This window comes from Homo sapiens, chromosome 14 (genome assembly GCF_000001405.40).
Source record: "Homo sapiens chromosome 14, GRCh38.p14 Primary Assembly".
NCBI lineage: Eukaryota > Metazoa > Chordata > Mammalia > Primates > Hominidae > Homo > Homo sapiens.
Genome location: NC_000014.9, coordinates 91,341,117 through 91,358,521, shown reverse-complemented (window position 1 = coordinate 91,358,521; position 17,405 = coordinate 91,341,117). Strand labels below are relative to the sequence as shown.

The 17,405-nt window shown below is 49.8% G+C and overlaps 1 protein-coding gene across 5 annotated transcripts in view, besides 5 other annotated features; it reads left to right on the top strand.

The window, feature by feature from the left end:
• CCDC88C (coiled-coil domain containing 88C) overlaps positions 1–17,405 on the top strand; it is a 146,498-nt gene that overhangs the window by 59,299 nt on the left and 69,794 nt on the right. For 4 of the 5 annotated variants that reach the window (NR_189158.1, NR_189159.1, NM_001080414.4 and 1 more), the window contains exons 5-6: positions 14,865–14,923; positions 16,059–16,142. Coding sequence is in view for 3 of the 5 variants with exons in the window: in NM_001080414.4 (NP_001073883.2) it covers positions 14,865–14,923; positions 16,059–16,142 (143 nt within the window). In the remaining 2 variants the exon portion in view is untranslated. Of the gene's footprint in view, positions 1–6,290; positions 6,399–14,864; positions 14,924–16,058; positions 16,143–17,405 lie in introns of those variants that run through there. The other variant, XM_047431418.1, reaches the window with a different exon arrangement.
• Positions 3,114–3,624: an enhancer, noted in NCBI's record as "H3K4me1 hESC enhancer chr14:91821242-91821752 (GRCh37/hg19 assembly coordinates)". NCBI's record gives its function as "activates a minimal SCP1, AML or CMV promoter by ChIP-STARR-seq in naive H9 embryonic stem cells {active_cell/tissue: H9 hESC(naive)}" and the evidence as "EXISTENCE:reporter gene assay evidence [ECO:0000049][PMID:30033119]".
• Positions 5,086–6,057: an enhancer, noted in NCBI's record as "H3K27ac-H3K4me1 hESC enhancer chr14:91818809-91819780 (GRCh37/hg19 assembly coordinates)". NCBI's record gives its function as "activates a minimal SCP1, AML or CMV promoter by ChIP-STARR-seq in primed H9 embryonic stem cells {active_cell/tissue: H9 hESC(primed)}" and the evidence as "EXISTENCE:reporter gene assay evidence [ECO:0000049][PMID:30033119]".
• Positions 7,584–7,633: an enhancer, noted in NCBI's record as "active region_8906". NCBI's record gives its function as "activates an Ori minimal core promoter by ATAC-STARR-seq in GM12878 lymphoblastoid cells {active_cell/tissue: GM12878}" and the evidence as "EXISTENCE:reporter gene assay evidence [ECO:0000049][PMID:35858748]".
• Positions 7,754–7,803: an enhancer, noted in NCBI's record as "active region_8905". NCBI's record gives its function as "activates an Ori minimal core promoter by ATAC-STARR-seq in GM12878 lymphoblastoid cells {active_cell/tissue: GM12878}" and the evidence as "EXISTENCE:reporter gene assay evidence [ECO:0000049][PMID:35858748]".
• Positions 9,181–9,260: an enhancer, noted in NCBI's record as "active region_8904". NCBI's record gives its function as "activates an Ori minimal core promoter by ATAC-STARR-seq in GM12878 lymphoblastoid cells {active_cell/tissue: GM12878}" and the evidence as "EXISTENCE:reporter gene assay evidence [ECO:0000049][PMID:35858748]".

Genomic DNA, 17,405 nt, shown 5'->3' with positions numbered 1-17,405 from the left:
TGGACAGAAGTCGCAGGCCCCAGGGACAGAGTTACTCGCTGGCTAGGACTTCCCTTGTTCTGATGGAGACCTTGTCATCATTTTGAAACCTTAGGTCTGGGGCCTCCTGGAGTAGGTGAGGGGTCAAGGAACACAGGAAAAGCCACACCTGTAGGATGGTAATAAACCGTGAATCCTAAACATTAGAGACATTTCCAAAAGGGACTCGGGCTTCCTCTGTTGGCGTCTCCTCAGCCTGGTCTCACTGCAGCCTGGCCATCCCCTCTCCTGTCCGTATGACAGTAGCTAGTGGCCTTGAGACTTTAGAAGAGTTCACTGAGTAACCAGCCGAGGACAAAGCTGGTAGGAGAGCAGTCTTCTTTTAGTGCCACCGCCCTGAGAACATCAGCAGCGGCTTCCTTGTTCCGTGGGGGCGCTCTTTCTGGGCTCCAGCTGGCTGAGGTGTCCGCCTTTGCATGAGCCAGAAGGAAGAGCATCCCTGGACCCCTGATAGTCTTCAGTGCTCTGGCCTGTGGGCACTCACCGCCTTACATGGAGACCCTGCAGAGGCCACCCCTGGTCCTCCTGGTGGCCCCCGGCAGCAAGCGCCCTCCCCCACTTCCCGTGTTAGTAGCAGGGGGCCTTTGGTTCTGCTCCCCTGCCAGCTCTGCCATGGGGCCATGTGTGTTCCGGCTTTATTTCATGGCTCCCCCAGAGAAGGGCGGGGACGCCAGATGCAGTCCATGCTGGCCACAGCCCTGGGCTCCAGGGACCGGGGGACTCTCATGATTTCTGGTAACTTCAGGGAAGTGGAGCCTGTTTTGCTGAGCAGAACTCTGCCACCTTCCTAGTTTATTTGGGGCTGGTTACGGGAGGAGATGAGAGTGATGCCTGTAGAGGTTGGCGGTAGCTTAGTCCTGTTGTTCTGTCTGCCCTGGAGACAGTGGAGGAGCAAAAGGAGGGGACAGCCACTCCGTCTGCCCTGGAGACAGTGGAGGAGCAAAAGGAGGGGACAGCCACTCCTTAGCACGCCCACCCTGTGCTTGGCACTGAACGTGCGTTACAAATGCAATGAAAGACCGAGCGTGCTGGCGAGACACTAGTTCTACAAAAAATAAAAAAGTTAGCCGGGCATGGTGACACGCACTCATAGTCCTAGCTACTTTAGGAGGCTGAGGCAGAAGGATTGCTTAAGCCCAGGAGGTCGAGGCTGCAGTAAGCTGTGATTGTGCCACTGCACTCCAGCCTGGACGACAGGCAAGACTCCATCTTTAATTAGTTAATTAAAATTTGTATTTAAAGGAATGAAAACGTGCTTCTGTGGTGTGGCTGCGCCCATTTCCGTTTATAGGGAGAGAACTGAGGCTCCGAGGGCTTGGGTGCCATGTCCTTGACCAGTTGGCCTGTAAGCAGAGGGGCTGATTGGAAACCTGCTCTGTCCGCCCCCAAACCTGAGCCTCTTCATCTGTCACACATGGACATCTATGGGTTAGGTTTAACTGTAGGCAATTGCCAATATCCAGTCTTTTTTGACCTATAAAAATGGCATATGGTTGAACCTAATATTAAACGCATCCTTCTCCCCGCCTTTTCTCACCCCTCCCTTTAGCTCCAATGTTACCTGCATAGCTTGCCCACCTTCCTGCTGGTGCTCCCCCTCTTCTCATCCCTGCAGGTGTCTCCCCTTCCACTACCATCTGGAAGCCTGCCCTCTCTGCCCCACTACCATCAGGCACCTCCCAACACCACAGAGATTGTCCATGGGCAGAGAACATAGGTCCGCATCTCAGGTCTGCTGCCAAACAGAAACATCTGTAAAGATGTGGATGCTGATTTTTTTTTTTAACAGCTTTATTGAGGTATCATTTGCATGCTATAAAACACACCCATTGTAAGTGTATAATTCAGTGATTTTTTTTCATAAATATACAAAGCTGTAAAACCCTAACCACAATTCAGTTTTTAGAATGTTAAGAGGAAGCTGGTTTTAGACTGTTGACAGGTGAATTGAATGTCCCTGGGGCCCCCGTGGTATATAATCAGCCCACATGGATCAGCTGGTCCCAGCTCTGAAGGTGGAGTTGGAGAAACTGGACAGTGAGGGCTGGGAAAGTGAAGGACGGGAATAACTCTACCCATCACCGAGGGCTCAGAGGGCCCCGGGCCTCGCTGACTGACATGCTAGACGGTGGCCTCGGCAGGCTGCACACAGAGGGCAACGTGTCAGGGCTGGGGGACGGGGAGCTGGGTGCACGGATGAGTAGGTTTGACAGGGGTCCCATGGTGCTCTGAGAGCAGAGGAGGCTGGCAGCGGACATCCACCAGCAGGAAGATGCAGACACCAGTGCTAGGGGCAGAGGGATGTATTTATGAAATAGCATTTTCAGTTTTAAATTGTAAAAATAGATGTGTGAAGCTCTTTTCGTTTCTTTTTAAACAAAGAACAAAGTTGGTGTTTTTTTAATTTGTATGGTTGCCCGGGGTGGGGCATGTGTGTGCTTTTTGACTAAATCTATCCCCGTCGTGTGTGAGGGGCTTGCTTTGTACTCTTTTTGATGGATGCTAACACTGTACTGTTATTTATAACGTTTTATAGTTTGGGGTAACTTTTCTGTTTTGGGCACATAGCATCACAAGCTCCCAGATTCCAGATCCCAACAGAGCATCTGGTCCACCCACTGTTCCCCAACACAATGATACTAAAAGACCCTGAGAGTCTACGCATTTGTCCCCTTTCTCTGACCTAAAAAAGGGAGGTGCCACAACTTACAGTTTTTCTGTATGTCTCACTTAACCCCCCACACCCATCAGACAGAAGGGTGTTCACTCTCTTCCTATCCTGGGTGGAAGTCAAGGACAGTGCAGTAACTATGAAACAGTACTTCGTATACTGAAAATTGCTTTTGAAATCTCTCCTCAGCATCTGCCCGTCCCGGCCCAAACTCCTCACTCCCTTACGCTGTGTCTGCCCTGGGACCGTCTCTGGATTTCTGCTCTGATGGTGCTGTGGTTTTGCAGCTCACTCTCAGCTGCACCCACGCCCCCGGGGAGGGGAGGGTCTGTCTGGTGCCTCACTGCTGTAGTCTCTGCTTCTCCGAGCACGGCCTGGGCTCTGGCTGGACCCTGCTTGAACCCCGCCCTCACTTTTATATGACGGCTCTTATAAGAGCCTGCCCCCATAGTGAGGCGGTGTGCAGGCTTCTGGGGCCTGAGTGCCGTAGAGCGTCCTTCGCCTTGTTTCCCCTCAGCCATCCTTATCCTTCCCTCTTACCCGTGTCTGCGCTGTCGCCTGGTGTCCCGGGTCTACCCTCAGTGCACCCCCAGAAGCCGAGCTCTCCTCTGCAGCCCTCCTCACCACCACCAGCTCCCCTGCTTCCGCCTGGCTGCTCCCCAGGGCAGTGTCCTCACCTCTGCCCCCTGCAGTCTGCTCCCAGCATGGCAGCCCGAGCAGCCCACTCCTCAGGTCAGCCGACTGTCATTTTGCAGCCCGCTCCGGGCACTAGGGCCTGTGCACCTGCCGGTCCCTCTGCCAGCGAGCTGTGTAAACACCTCCTGTGAGCCCCTGTTCAGTGTGGCCCCACCTGTCTCTCCTGCCACACGCCCTGTCTTCTTTGTTCTGCTCTGCTTTCCCTTCTCCATATCTTTTGGCACCTGTGAATAGCCTATACTGTTCACTTATTTTTTCCCCTCTGTGGCATTGCATACTTTTCCCCCGTTAGGGTGCACGCTCTCATGACAGCAGGAATCCTGGGGTTTTTTGTTGTTGTTGTCAGTGCGTTCGAATGCCTAGATCAGTGTCTGGCATGTAGTAGGTGCTCAGTAAATACAGCATCCATGCAGGGGGCCCACCTTTCTCTCTTCCTCTCTCCACTTTGCTCTCCCGTCAAGCTGGGGCCCCTGACAGGTGTTACCCACTTGCTCTCATAGATAAGAAGGCCAGTTGTCAGTGGTCAGGGTCAAGTGAGATTCATTCTCTGCCCAGTACCACGTGTCTGTCTCCCCTAGGCCTGAGATGACTCCCTGAAAACCGCCTTCACCATCTTGCCAGCTGCACAGCTATTAAATATCTTTCGCGGTTACTGGTGAGTGTTTTCTACAAGAAGCCTGTGAGAAGCAAGAGCTCACGTCTGTGCTGTGAGGGAGGATGCTGGATGGAGCTAGACCAGCTCCGGGGTCCCTCCAGCTCTGGCTTCTCAGCATCTTGCTCAGCAGCCAGGCCTGTCACTGTGCCACACGCACAAGAAAAGACTAGATTTGTCTGACGGGAAGCCAGGGTGTTAGCAAATTACTTTCTGCGATGAATCACAGGACAGTTGCACTGGAAGAAAGCATTGTTTTTTCTTCCAGGGTTTGTATCCAAGTATAGTAGTGGTTTCCAGACTTACACATGGCCGATCCCACCGAAGCCATTTAGAATGGAAGGGAACGAGCCATTTAGGTGTAGAAGCCCAGCCCAGAGAGCGGAGGAGCTCATTCAGAGGCACACAGCATGGAGGTCCCCATAGGCGCAAGACAGATTTCACACCATAAATTGCACAGATGGTTACTTTTGTGGACAGTAAGCCACTGGTTCCAAGCAAGAGGGTTACTGTCACTGGTCTGCCCTGATGTTTCTTACATTCTAAATGCCAAGCAGGATTCCTGGAAGCCCTGGAGGGGCTGCGACTGCATATGCACACCCTACAGGGTCCTGTCTGAATGCCCCTGGAACCTTTGAGAAGAGCCTTGGGGTTTCATTAATTGCCGTTCAGCGGCCTGGCCCTCTGTCCTATGTTTTCTCTCTCTTATGATGGTTACAGAGGGTGCGCATTCCAGCAGCAGAGGAAGCACCCTGAAGAGACAAGGTTCTGTGCGCACAAAATGCTGTGACCGACCTTCCTTCTCAGCTGAGTGCAGAACTCTATCTACTGCACCGGCTGAGGAAGCCAGAAGGCCCGACTTCTGACCTCCCCAAATAAAAGACTGGAGTACCTTTTCATCCTTCCTCATCTTAGCTGGCTGCCCCTCAGCCAGAGGCTCACAAAAGGAGCTCAGCCCAAGCCCCTCCTTTAGCTCCCCTCTGCTGGTGAGATGAACAGGCCGCCTCTGCTCAGGAAGCCCCCAGTCTGGGTTGAGGCAGGAAGGGAAGACAGAGTCCTGCGACATTTATTCTAGGACAGAAGATGGTGCAAGAATGTGCTTCACAGCCAGTGCAAGGGGGCTGATGAGTTCTGCTTGGGCAGGCCAGGAAGGCTTCCTGGAGGAGGCAATATCTGGGCAAGCCACGGACAGAGAAAGCGAGGAAAGGTGTTCTAGGTGGAACGAGCTCAGGGGAGTGCAAGTTGCTGGAAGTCTCATGAGGATCAGCAAGCCTGGGGCAAGGAGGAGGCCTTCTGTGACAGCTGAGGTTTAGGATTCATGGGCCAGAGGAAACAGACCTCCTGAAACTCCTTGGAATTTAATATTTAACCCTCTCAGTATTGATTTGCTCTCCTGCCAGTGTGTCCTTGGAGTGCTTTTCAGATCCCATGGAAACCTCTCTCTCGTAGCCCACACGGCACAGCCCTGCCTTCCTTCGGGGGCCCCGGGGAACTTGTGAGGGCTGGGTGTGCCCCAGGCTTACTGACCTCCATCCTGGCAACCCAGGCACAGGCTCAGAGTCCGGCTTGTGAGGAACAGTCCTCCTGCTGCAGAGATGGTGCTTTTAAAAATCAAAAGCCCTGTCTTCCTGGCCCTGCGGCCCTCCCAGTCCTGCCCCTGGCTCCATGCCTGCTCACCGTGTGGTGTGGAGGCTGAGGGTCGGCCACTCAGGCTTCATGAGCCATTCTTGTGTTCTTTTCCCCTACCCCTGTTGTTTTTATTTTATTTCTCCTGGCCATAATTCTCTAATCCTGTGTATAAGTGTATATGTGTGTGTGTATATATATATAATTTTCATATTTGCAAAACGTTTTGGGCGTTTGAATGGGAGGGAAGAAATAAGAAAAAGCTAATCTTGCAGGCATTTTGATTGTTCTAAAATTTCCTCTTTCATCCTTGAGAGAGAAGGTTCAGAAAAGCAACCAAATGCTGTTTTAAACTACCCCGTTTCTATCCTGCTTCTTTGCTTCTGTGCTGCTTGTTGGATCCGGAAATGAGGGCTCCAGTCCACGTGCGGTGCTGGGGCACTTAAGCCAGGAGCCGAGGCTTTCCTTTCCTAGGAAGGTGCAGAGTTTGGCTGACACCAAGCCCAGCCGAGCGTCACAGTGCGGCCCACACGCCGGCCTCCAAGCACCCGCGGATCTGCCTGGAGACCAGACTTTGTTAGTAAACTTCCTAGCGATGGCCCAGGCACACAGAGAACGCCGCTGGCTGCAACAGCCACACCATGGCTTCCAGCAGCCCTACTCTCTGTGGCCACCGCCGTCTGCGGAGGAGGGAAGAGATGCTATTTGTCAAAGGTCTTTATGTTTGAGTTTTCCACGTGGTGGTTGGGAGGGACCCTTTCCCAGAGCGTCCCCTGCCTGCCCTAGCTCCTCGCCCCTTCCCAGGGCAAACTTGAGTCTCAAGCTGCAGGCTTGTGGCTGATTCTGCTTTTCTGGTCTTCAGTTGTTTGGTGCTGGGAAATGAATTCGCTCTCAGCTTCTGCAGGCGTGGCAGGCAGGTGGGGTAGGAGGTCATTTTTGGGGTGAGGGTGCTCCGAGGGGCTGATATTTCAAAGTGTTCTACATGACCTGGGGGTAGCTGTCGTCTGTTGTGCGTGGTGGTGCTGGGGTATCTGTGGGGGTGGGACTGACTTGACATGGGCAGCAGAGAGACACTAGAGTAAAGGGCCACTAGTCAGAGTGCCCCCGGGAGGCTCCTGCACCATTCCACACAGGCATGCAGCTTAGCGCCTGCCAGAGTCCACGTTTGATAAATATGTGTGCCTGGTTATGTTAATGCCGGGGGGTGGGGGCACGTGGTGACATGAGGATTCCACAGGGGCCGCTCCCCAGAATGTGAGCCCGTGCGTAGAGGTGCCTGCCTCCTTCCCCATGGGTGGGGACACATATGATGGAGCATCCCCATGTGCCCACCCACGGGGAACTCTCCACCTTGAGTATTCCTCGGCAGTGCCTAGGAAGTACCCCAACTGTTAAAATAATAATAAACAGCTCTTCTCGTTGTAAGCTGAGCCCTCAGGAGGGCCCTCAGAGCCGTGCCCATGTGAGTGAGTGTTGGGGTGTGCCCGTGTACTGAGGAGAGACAACAGGGTCGTGTTCAGTGCACTGCTGTTTTCAAATCACTGTGACAGCCTCGTGAGCATCCTTATGAAATAACTGGTTTTTAAGTACAAAACCAGGGAAAGCAGTTAGTGGTTCACACCAGCATGTAAGCCAGAAGAGAAGAGAATGTAGAATAAGTAAGCACACATACGTGCCGTAGAAGAGAGAAACTGAAACTGCTCTCTTTGCGGTTCTAACCCAGGTACTTGATGCTAACAGTTAACCTCACTCAGTCAGCAAACGCTGGTTAAACAACCTGCGTGGGACCACCGGGATCAGAAGCGAAACCACATAGCTCCCTGCTTTGGAAGGAAACATAAATAAGTTAGGAGATGGTAGGTAGTGGTGGACCCGGGGACAGATCTTAGTTCTGTGACTCAGCCTTTCTGAGCTGCATCCTTCTATTTCTGAGATGGAGTCATCATGCCGTCCTCGGGGGATTGCTTTTAGAATTAAGTCACATGGTAGCATGCCGTATATTAAGGTGCAGTAATGGTGGTCTGTAGGAGGGAAGGGCAGAATTACTCTATGGAATATGGTCAGTCCTTCCAGGTTGTGAGGGTTAAACCCTGAGCCTGGCTGGTCATTTGCAGGTCCTGGGCCTCTGTGGTTGTGGGGAGCTGAGTTAGCAAGACAGAGGAATCAGTTTCACTGCTTTATCTCTGACCCCTGTTCGTCTGTGGAGAGACATCACTGTGCCTTTGACCCCAGCAAGGGCAGAGAGTGTGCAGTTTGGGGCAGGAAGGGAAAGGGATGCTTGCCTGCCATTGCTTAAATCCCCAGCTTCACACCTCAGTCATTGTTTATACACAACAAGAATTAGTTCCTGTATCCAGAAATCAGAAAGTGTCTTCTGTCTGGGCATGGTGGCTCACACCTGTAATCCCGGCACTTTGGGAGGCCAAGACGGATGAATCACTTGAGGTCAGGAGCTCAAGACCAGCCTGGCCAACATGGTGAAACCCTGTCTCTACTAAAAAATACAAAAATTAGCCAGGCGTGGTGGTGGGTGCCTGTAGTCCCAGCTACTTGGGAGGCCGAGGCAGGAGAATCTCTTGAACCCGGGAGGCGGAGTTTGCAGTGAGCCGAAATTGTGCCACTGCACTCCAACCTGGGTGACAGAGTGAGACTCTGTCTCCAAAAAAAAAAAAAAGTGTCTTCTGAACATGTGCATGACTACAGCTTAAAGAACCAGAGTGGAGTCAAAAAGGACTATACACATTATGTACCAGTCATGGAAGGAAGATAGGTTTTGTTCCATGTGTTAACTTCCATTAACTGGTAGTCTGTGGAGGGCTGTGTTCAGAAGGATTCTGAGGCCTAGTTCCACCCTAAGTCAGAAAGTGCTGTGATTGACTAATCATGTCTGCCATGGACTCAGAGTTAGCAAGTCGGGGAATTTTCAAACCTTGATATAATGCACATTTTAGAGGATGGTGTATTTTAATTGTGCAACTACTTTTCTATCCTCACCTCTGCCCTTAGAAACGTGTGCTATCAGGCAGTTTCCCTTTTGTTTTGGAAGCTTATGACTGTTAACGTCTGCAGCTTTCTATATAGCTTATGTTGGCCTGCCTGCATTGCATTTCTGCTAAGAAAGGCTGGGGTGAATTTCTTTGTGTCAAGACTCCAGGAAGCAGGTAGTAAGGTAAGGTTTTTCTTAGACTCAGCTATTGACTCAGGCCGTCCTGGGATTCCCCCAGGGGTTCTCCTATTCTCAACAGAGTGTAGTTGTGTTAAGTGTGGAGTGTGTCCGGTCTGATGTTTCTCGATCCCCGCCCGCAGTGGTTGCTTGTGACTTTTTTGGTGTAGAAATTCACGTCGTTTTATAACCTGCCCCCGTTTCTCCCTCTGAACAGCAGCTCGAGTAAGTGTAACCATAAAGCACTTATACTTTGACAAGCAGCGTGCTCTCTTACCTCTTGGCCTTCGCATGTGCTGTTCCCTGGGCCTGGAAAGCCCACACTTGCCTACCCGATAAGTCTGTCTCCTCCTTATCTGTGGAACTCAGCTCAAAGGTTATTCCCTTTAGAGTCCTTGCCCTGGGCCTTGCTGCAAATTAGAAGTTCCTTTCCCGGGTTCCCATAGCATTTATCAGCTTTCTGATTGCTGGTTTGGCTCCCAGCACATAGTAGGTACTTGGCAGGGAGCTGTCTGTAGGTTTGTTTGATCTTGGCCTGCTTGACTGTGTCACTGAGCCAGTCTTACTGGCAAGGACCCAGGAGGGAATCTTCTGCTGTGTTTTGAAACTATTCAAAACCCACAATCTGGTAGATTTATGGAAATAGCGGTTTTTCTTATGACTGAAATCCTGAAAGAAATTGGGCATCGGCTTCTCATGAGAAATGAGGAAACTTCTGCTTCCCGCCCTGGGCGCTTTTTAAAAAAAAATTTTGTAGGAATCTGTAGGGGTGGGGATCACAGGATGTTTTTGTTAATAAGCAAATGTTTCTATTCACTCAGCCTGGTGAGAGCAAGCATCACTCTGCTTCATTTGAATGAGGGCAGAGGTGAATTTCTTAGTAACCTGTTCATCACCAAAGAGTTTATTTTTTTCATGAATATTTTTCTAAACTTAATTCTCTACCTTTAAAGCCTTTTTCCCTCCTGTTACAAACCTTAGCAAACAGGAATCCATACTCTTCTAACCTGTGCTGTGGGTCAGATTGTTTTCTTGATGTCTAATGGGTGTTGGGATGAATGAGGGAATGAATGAACTCAGGGTTGTCATTGTGTGTGATTGCAGGGTGCTGAGAGAGTAGAACCGTTTGCTCTGTCACCAAACAGCCTCGGAGTGTTGTTTGTTTTTGTGGTGTTTTTTGTTTATTTGTTTGTTTTGGAGACAGGGTCTTGCTCTGTCGCCCAGGCTACAGTGCAGTGGCACAATCAAAGCTCACTGCAGCTTCACCCTCCCAGGCTCAGGCGATCCTCCTACCTCAGCCTCCCAAATAGTGCACCACCAGGCCAGGCTAATTTTTTTTTTTTTTTTTTTTTAATAGAGATAGGGTCTTGGCTGGGCGCAGTGGCTCACACCTGTAATCCCAGCACTTTGGGAGGCCAAGGCAAGCAGATCACTTGAGGTCAGGAGTTTGAGACAAGCCTGGCCAACATGGTGAAACCCCATCTCTAATGAAAATACAAAAATTGGCTGGGCATGGTGGTGTGCGCCTGTAATCCCAGCTACTCGGGAGGCTGAGGCAGGAGAATCGCTTGAACCCAGGAGGCAGAGGTTGCAGTGAGCTGAGCTTGCACCACTGCACTCTAGCCTGGGTGACAGAGCGAGACTCCATCTCAAAAACTCACCATTTTTTATGGCTGCATAGTATTCCATGGTGTATATGTGCCACATTTTCTTTATCCAGTCTATGGTTGTTGGACATTTAGGTTGGTTCCAAGTCTTTGCTATTGTGAATAGTGCCACTATAAACGTACGTGTGCATGTGTCTTTATAGCAGCATGATTTATAATCCTTTGGGTATATACCCAGTAATGGGATGGCTGGGTCAAATGGTATTTCTAGTTCTAGATCCCTGAGGAATCGCCACACTGACTTCCACAAGGGTTGAACTGGTTTACAGTCCCACCAACAGTGTAAAAGTGTTCCTGTTTCTCCACATCCTCTCCAGCACCTGTTGTTTCCTGACTTTTTAATGATCGCCATTCTAACTGGTGTGAGATGGTATCTCATTGTGGTTTTGATTTGCATTTCTCTGATGGCCAGTGATGGTGAGCATTTTTTCATGTGTTTTTTGGCTGCATAAATGTCTTCTTTTGAGAAGTGTCTGTTCATGTCCTTCACCCACTTTTTGATGGGGTTGTTTGTTTTTTTCTTGTAAATTTGTTTGAGTTCACCCGGCCTCAGAGTGTAGTTTTGAGCCCTCTAGTGTGTGTGCAAGGTTTCTGGTCTCTTCCTTGCTCTCAGAACACCATCAGTGAGCCTCTCTAGCACTTTCCTCCCTTTTAATTTGCTGTTGTAATGTGCTTTGGGCTGGGGAAATGGATCACCAGAGTTGTCCAAATGATTCTACAGTGTGATGTAATTAGTTTATTTGGGGACTTTGCTGCGAATAGAGTACATAAAGATTTTCTGTGCAAACCCTGACTTCTGTTTGGGCTGATCTCAGGCCCTTAAGTGCTTTCTTAGTGTTTCAGCTCCTGTGGTGGGTACAGTACCAGGTGAGTGGCCTTTCAAAAAGTGAGTCTCATTGTAGGAAGACAAGCCAGTGACGGCTGGGAAGGGTCTGTGCCTCTTATATCCAGCATGGGCATGTGATGAGCACTTGCCAGTGATCTGTGGGCCGACAAAAGGGAAAGGGGGAGGTGGGTGACTTGGGCTGAGCCGGCAAGCACTGTCAGAAAGACTGATTGGAGGCTTTGTTAACACTCATGTGGGCATTCCCTTTTCTCTCTCTTTTTTTGAGACAGAGTCTTCCTTTGTCGCCAAGGCTGGAGTGCAGTGGAGCAATTTCAGCTCACTGCAACCTCCGCCTCCTGGGTTCAAGTGATTCTCCTGCCTCAACCTCCCAAGCAGCTGGGATTACAGACGCGTGCCACCACGCCCAGCTAATTTTTGTACCTTTGGTAGAGTCGAGGTTTCACCATGTTGGCCAGGCTGGTTTCGAACTCCTGACCTCACCTCCCACCTTGGCCTCCCAAAGTGCTAGGATTACAGGCATGAGCCACTGTGCCCAGCCCCTTTTCTCTTTATCGAAACTAAAATTAAGTGGCTGATGAATAGCTCCACGTTAATAGGGAAGTGAGTCACTGTGGTGATATTTATTCTATGGATTAGAGTATCTTGGGCCAAATAAAAGATCTCAAGTAAAAAAAAAAAATCCTAAGATTTTGAGAATTTTTCCATTTCAAATATTGATGAATTTCTACACTTACTAGCAGGAGAAGGATTTAACCTTAGAAGATTGCTTTGCAACGCTGAGCCTTATTCTCAGGTGTGTCCTCCAGAGCAGGAAAGTGGCCTTAGACCCTGTGGTCCAACCCACCAGTCTCTCCCTGCCCTGCCTTCAGGCTGGGGGGCGGGGTGTGTTTCTGGTTCAGTGAACCCCCAGTTCCCAGTTCTGAGGCTTGACAATGATGTCATTATCTCAAGGAAAGCCAATTTTAGCTATTTCTCAGTTGAGGGGTCTTAGGAGGAGGTCGCATATTCATTCACTACTTATACCCAGGGATCTGAAATGAACCGCAGCATTGGTTCTCAGGACGGCGGTTTGGTTTTTTCATCCCGGCAGTCTTTGACACTTTGGGACACTGTAGCCCAGTGTGTGAGTTGGTTAAGTCTTTTAAGAGAAGAAAGCTATTTCTGGCATGTCCTTTCTTCCTCAATACAATAGGATATAACGAAAAAGAACACATAGATTTTTTTTTTTTTGAACCTGAAAGGGAACCCTGCACATTACCCAGGCCATTTTATAGATGTGGAAACTGAGGCTTGGAGACAGAGTATGGCTTGTCTGGGACACACAGTTCCTGGGTGACCAAGCCCATCGTCTAGGCGCAGGTGTTCTGCTGCTGTTTAAGTGTTTGAGATAGATAAACAGGTGAAGATGCATTCAGCCCCAAGCACAATCAAAGAGACACAGCTCAGAATGACGAAACAGGATTTTTGGCCTGATTGACAAAGTTGGGAAAGTGGTGAGGTAAATGTTGATCAAGGGTAGGAAAATGGGAATCACCACACATTTCCCAGGGTGAAATGGCAGAGCCTGTCTGCAGGGCAGTTTGTCAATATGAAAAGCTTAAAAAGGGAATGCATAAAGAATTAGCTACCATGATATTCTTTATAACATTGTTTAGATTGAAATATTTTAAGGCCGGGCACGGCTGCTCACGTCTGTAATCCCAGCACTTTGGGAGGCCGAGGCGAGCAGATCACGAGGTCAGGAGTTCAAGACCAGCCAGGCCAACATGGTGAAACCCCCGTCTCTACTAAAAATTCAAAAATAGCAGAGCGTGGTGGCGAGCGCCTGTAATCCCAGCTCCTTGGGAGGCTGAGGCAGGAGAATCGCTTGAACCCAGGAGACAGAGGTGGAAGTGAGCCAAAATTGTGCCACTGCACTCCAGCCTGGGTGACAGAGTGAGACTCTGTCTCAAAAAAAAAAAAAAAAAAAATATATATATATATATATATATATAAATTGAACCTCTGGAAGGGGTATTGGTTAAATAAGTTACTGGCCTTGATTTACAAAGTAAGTATGCAACCATCAAAAAGGTGCAGTGGCTCACACGTGTGATCCCAACACTTTGGAAGGCTGAGGCAGGAGGATCGCTTGAGCCCAGGAGTTCAAGACCAACCTGGGCAATATTATGAGACCCTGTCTACAAAAAATACAAAAGTTAGCCAGGTGTGGTGATGCGCACCTGTAGTCTAGCTACTCGGGAGGCTGAGGTGGAAGGATCACTTGAACCCAGGAGGTGGAAGCTGCAGCGAGCTATGATTGCACCACTATACCCCAACCTGGGCAATAGAGTGGGAACCTGTATCAGAAAAAAAAAAAAGGGGCCGGGCGCGGTGGCTCAAGCCTGTAATCCCAGCACTTTGGGAGGCTGAGGTGGGCGGATCACGAGGTCAGGAGATTGAGACCACGGTGAAACCCCATCTCTACTAAAAATACAAAAAATTAGCTGGGCGCGGTGGTGGCCGCCTGTAGTCCCAGCTACTCGGGAGGCTGAGGCAGGAGAATGGCATGAACCCAGGAGGCAGAGCTTGCAGTGAGCCGAGATTGCACCACTGCACTCAAGCCTGGGCGACAGAGCGAGACTCCATCTCAAAAAAAAAAAAAAGGATGGCTTTATGTTATCTTATAGAATTTACTTTAGAATACTCCAGCCAAACAAACTTAAAAGGGGGAAGGAGGAGGCAGGTAGAGTGAGAGGTGCAGAATGTTGATAATGTGAGGCTGAGTGTATTGTGGAGGTTCATTATACTGTCCTCCCGTGTCTGTTTGGAATTTTGCATAATAAAAAGGGGAAGGTTGTATACAGCCTTATTTTAGCGTTGACTCAGTATTTCCTGTGGGAGTTGTTCTCTCCCATTGTGTACTTTGCTTACGCGCTAAAAAGGGATGCTGATGTTATGGTTTGTTAATTATCATGGGGAGATACTTACGACATATTTGAATGGAAGGGGCTTCAAATAGTTATGTACAGAATTCTCATTTGGTTTAAAAAGTAAATAAGGCTGGGTATGGTGGCTCACACCTGTAATTCCTGCAACCTGGGAGGCTGAGGTGGGCGGATCACTTGAGTCCAGGAGTTTGAGACCAGCCTAGGCAACATGGCAAAAACCCATCTCTTCAACAAATACAAAAATTAGCTGGGCATGGTGGTATGTGTCTGTAGTCCCAGCTACTAGGGAGGCTGAGGTGAGAGGATCGCTTGAGCCTTGGGAGGTCAAGGCTGCAATGAGCTGTGGGCCTGCCACTGCACTCCAGCCTGGGTGACAGAGTGAGACCCTGTCTCAAAATAAAATAAAAAGTAAATAAAGCCACACATGGAAGATCGATGGAGTGTGTATACCTAAGTGAATGTCACAGAGTAGAGAGATGATTTTTTTTTATCTGTTTTTTCCCTACGGTAAACATGTCACTGAAATTATATCAGCAGTTGAGCTGAGTTAAATGTGTTGCTCTCTTGATCTAGGGAAGAGCATGGAGGAAATCAAGAAGGTGCTGCTGCTGGTGCTGGGCTGTGCTGTCCAGGTAGGGATTGGGCAGGGCTGCAGCAGAGGGACCTACCCCAGCCATCTCATATTGGGTTTGCGGGACTTGACCGAGCCCTTAGCTTAGGTGGGAGGATGCTCCTTTCAGTCCAATATGACAGAAGGCCGCTGGGTTCCTGGAAGAGAGTGGCCATTGTTTTACGTGGCAGCTGTTTCTAGTACCAGGGCACCTTGGGCAGGAGGCGAGATGGGGATCCCTCAGGCCAGGGTACCATTAGCAAATCGTCCCCAGCGTAGGAATCACTAGAACAAGGATCTGCAAACTACAGCTTGTGGGCCAGATCTGACTTGCTGCCTGTATTTGTAAATAAAGTTTTATTGGGCCGAGTGCAGTGGCTCATGCCTGTAATCTCAGCACTTTGGGAGGCTGAGGTGGGGGAGGATCGCTTGAGGTCGGGAGTTCAAGACCAGCCTTGGCAACATAGTGAGACCTCATCTTTACAAAAAATAGAAAACATTAGCTGGGTGTGGTGGCGCATGCCTGTAGTCCCGGCTACTCGGGAGGCTGAGGCGAGAGGATCACTTGAGTGCAGGAGTTTGAGGCTGCAGTGAGCCATGATCATGCCACTGCACTCCAGCCTGGGTGACAGCGAGACCCTCTCTCAAATAAAGTTTTATTGGAACACAGCCTCATGCCCACCTTTACATATTGTCTGTGGCTGGTTTGCCACTACAGCGACAGAGCTGAGTAGTTGTGACAGAGGCCAAATGGCCCACAGAGTCTAAAATATTTACCATCTGGCTTTTTACACATGAAGTTTGCCCCACCCTGGCCTAAACCAGGTGTCCCCCGTCTTTCTGTACTTAAGAATCACCGGGAGAGCTTGTTTAAAATGAAGCGTTCTGTGTTCCACCCTGGTCTTTTCAATCTGGGTGGGGGCTTACGGATGGGAGTTTTAAGAACAAGCTCCCCAGGTGATTCTGATGTAAGTGGTCCTGGCAACCACTAGAGACACATCAGTGTAAGGCTGGTAGGAGGACAAGAGCGTTCTTAGTTATGAAGGAGAAGCCCGGGGTGGGTGGTTCCTTTTGAAACTGTCATTCTGTGGCTGTGGTGGACTCAGCTTCACCCTCACTTGAACAGCGCTTCCATTAACACATGTAACCCTCCGCAGTGTGAGAGGAAAGAGGAGTTCATTGAAAGAATCAAACAGCTGGACATTGAGACCCAGGCTGGCATCGTGGCCCATATCCAGGAGGTAGGTGCGTGGCCTCGTGGTGGGCTCAGCTGTGGACTGCTGCTCCTGTGGTGGCCGGGAGGCAAAACTTCTCTATGAGTGGAAACGTTTGAAGAATACATCACCCATTACGATTTTGCTAATCTTAGGTTTCAGACACCACAGACACATTGATTCTATTTGGAAAGATAGCCATCAATCAGCCAGCTAAAATAAAATGAGGGTAAAAATAAAAATTAAAAAAAAAAAACACCTCAATCAAGTCATCTTTTGTCTCCTTCTTTTTGCCTTATATGGACTCAGACTATTTTTAAGAGCTGTCAACTGGTTGAGGCCCAGAGTTTGATTTACAGGCCCTGAAAATGTATTCTGGCAAATGTCACCCTGCTTTGAACAGTTGATCTTTATAGAATAGAGAGATTCTCTGCTTCTGTCAGTGACATGGCAGAGACAAGCTGACACCACTTGGGAATCAAAACCAGCGAGTCCCAGAAAGACCGCCTTGGGAGACTTGGCCCAGCCCCAACTCAGGCCCCCCAGCGAGGGGCCGGGAGGGCTCTGCACTGAGCGTCAGCGGAGTGGAGGAGGAGGAGCCCCTGGCCTTTGAGGCCTGACCTTCCCGGCCCTTTGCCATTGATGTTGGCAAAGGTGGTATCAGCTAAGGAGGCCGCCCACCCTAGGGGGCGGTATCCAGGTGGAAATTTACTTTCCTGACCTCCACTTCCACACTCCTTCCAAAATAAGCATTGTGTGCTTTAATTACCTTAGGGGATTTGGGTTCAGCAGTCAGTGTCATTGGACAGATGAGATAAATACATGAAGATTTGCATGCACAGGAGCTGGTGTGTGATTGGCAGAGGCAGCTGAGCACAGGACTCCCTGGGTTGATATTGGGGAGAAGCTGTAGCTGGGCCTACCAGCTTCCACAGCTGGCTGGGGCCATTGGGCCTGGGCTTCAGAATTCCCTGGGTGCTTTTTTAAAATTTGGGTGCTGGGCCCCATGAGAGACCCACTGAGTCAGACTCAGGGGGAGGAGGGGGCATAAGCATTTCAATAAAAGCTCAGCAAGTGGCTGTGGTGCAGCCAGGCTGAGCCCCTGAAGCCCAGCCACACCACCCTTTACAGAGGCCCCGAGATGTCCAAGGAGTTTCCCCAGCATTGGGTCTGGACCAGGCCTAGAACCGGCCTCTCAATCCTGTGCCCTTAGGGTGCTCTGAATCATGGGATAAGATTTCTCCTAATTCTCAGATCACCTGTATCCAAACTCGGCCTTTTAAGGTGGGG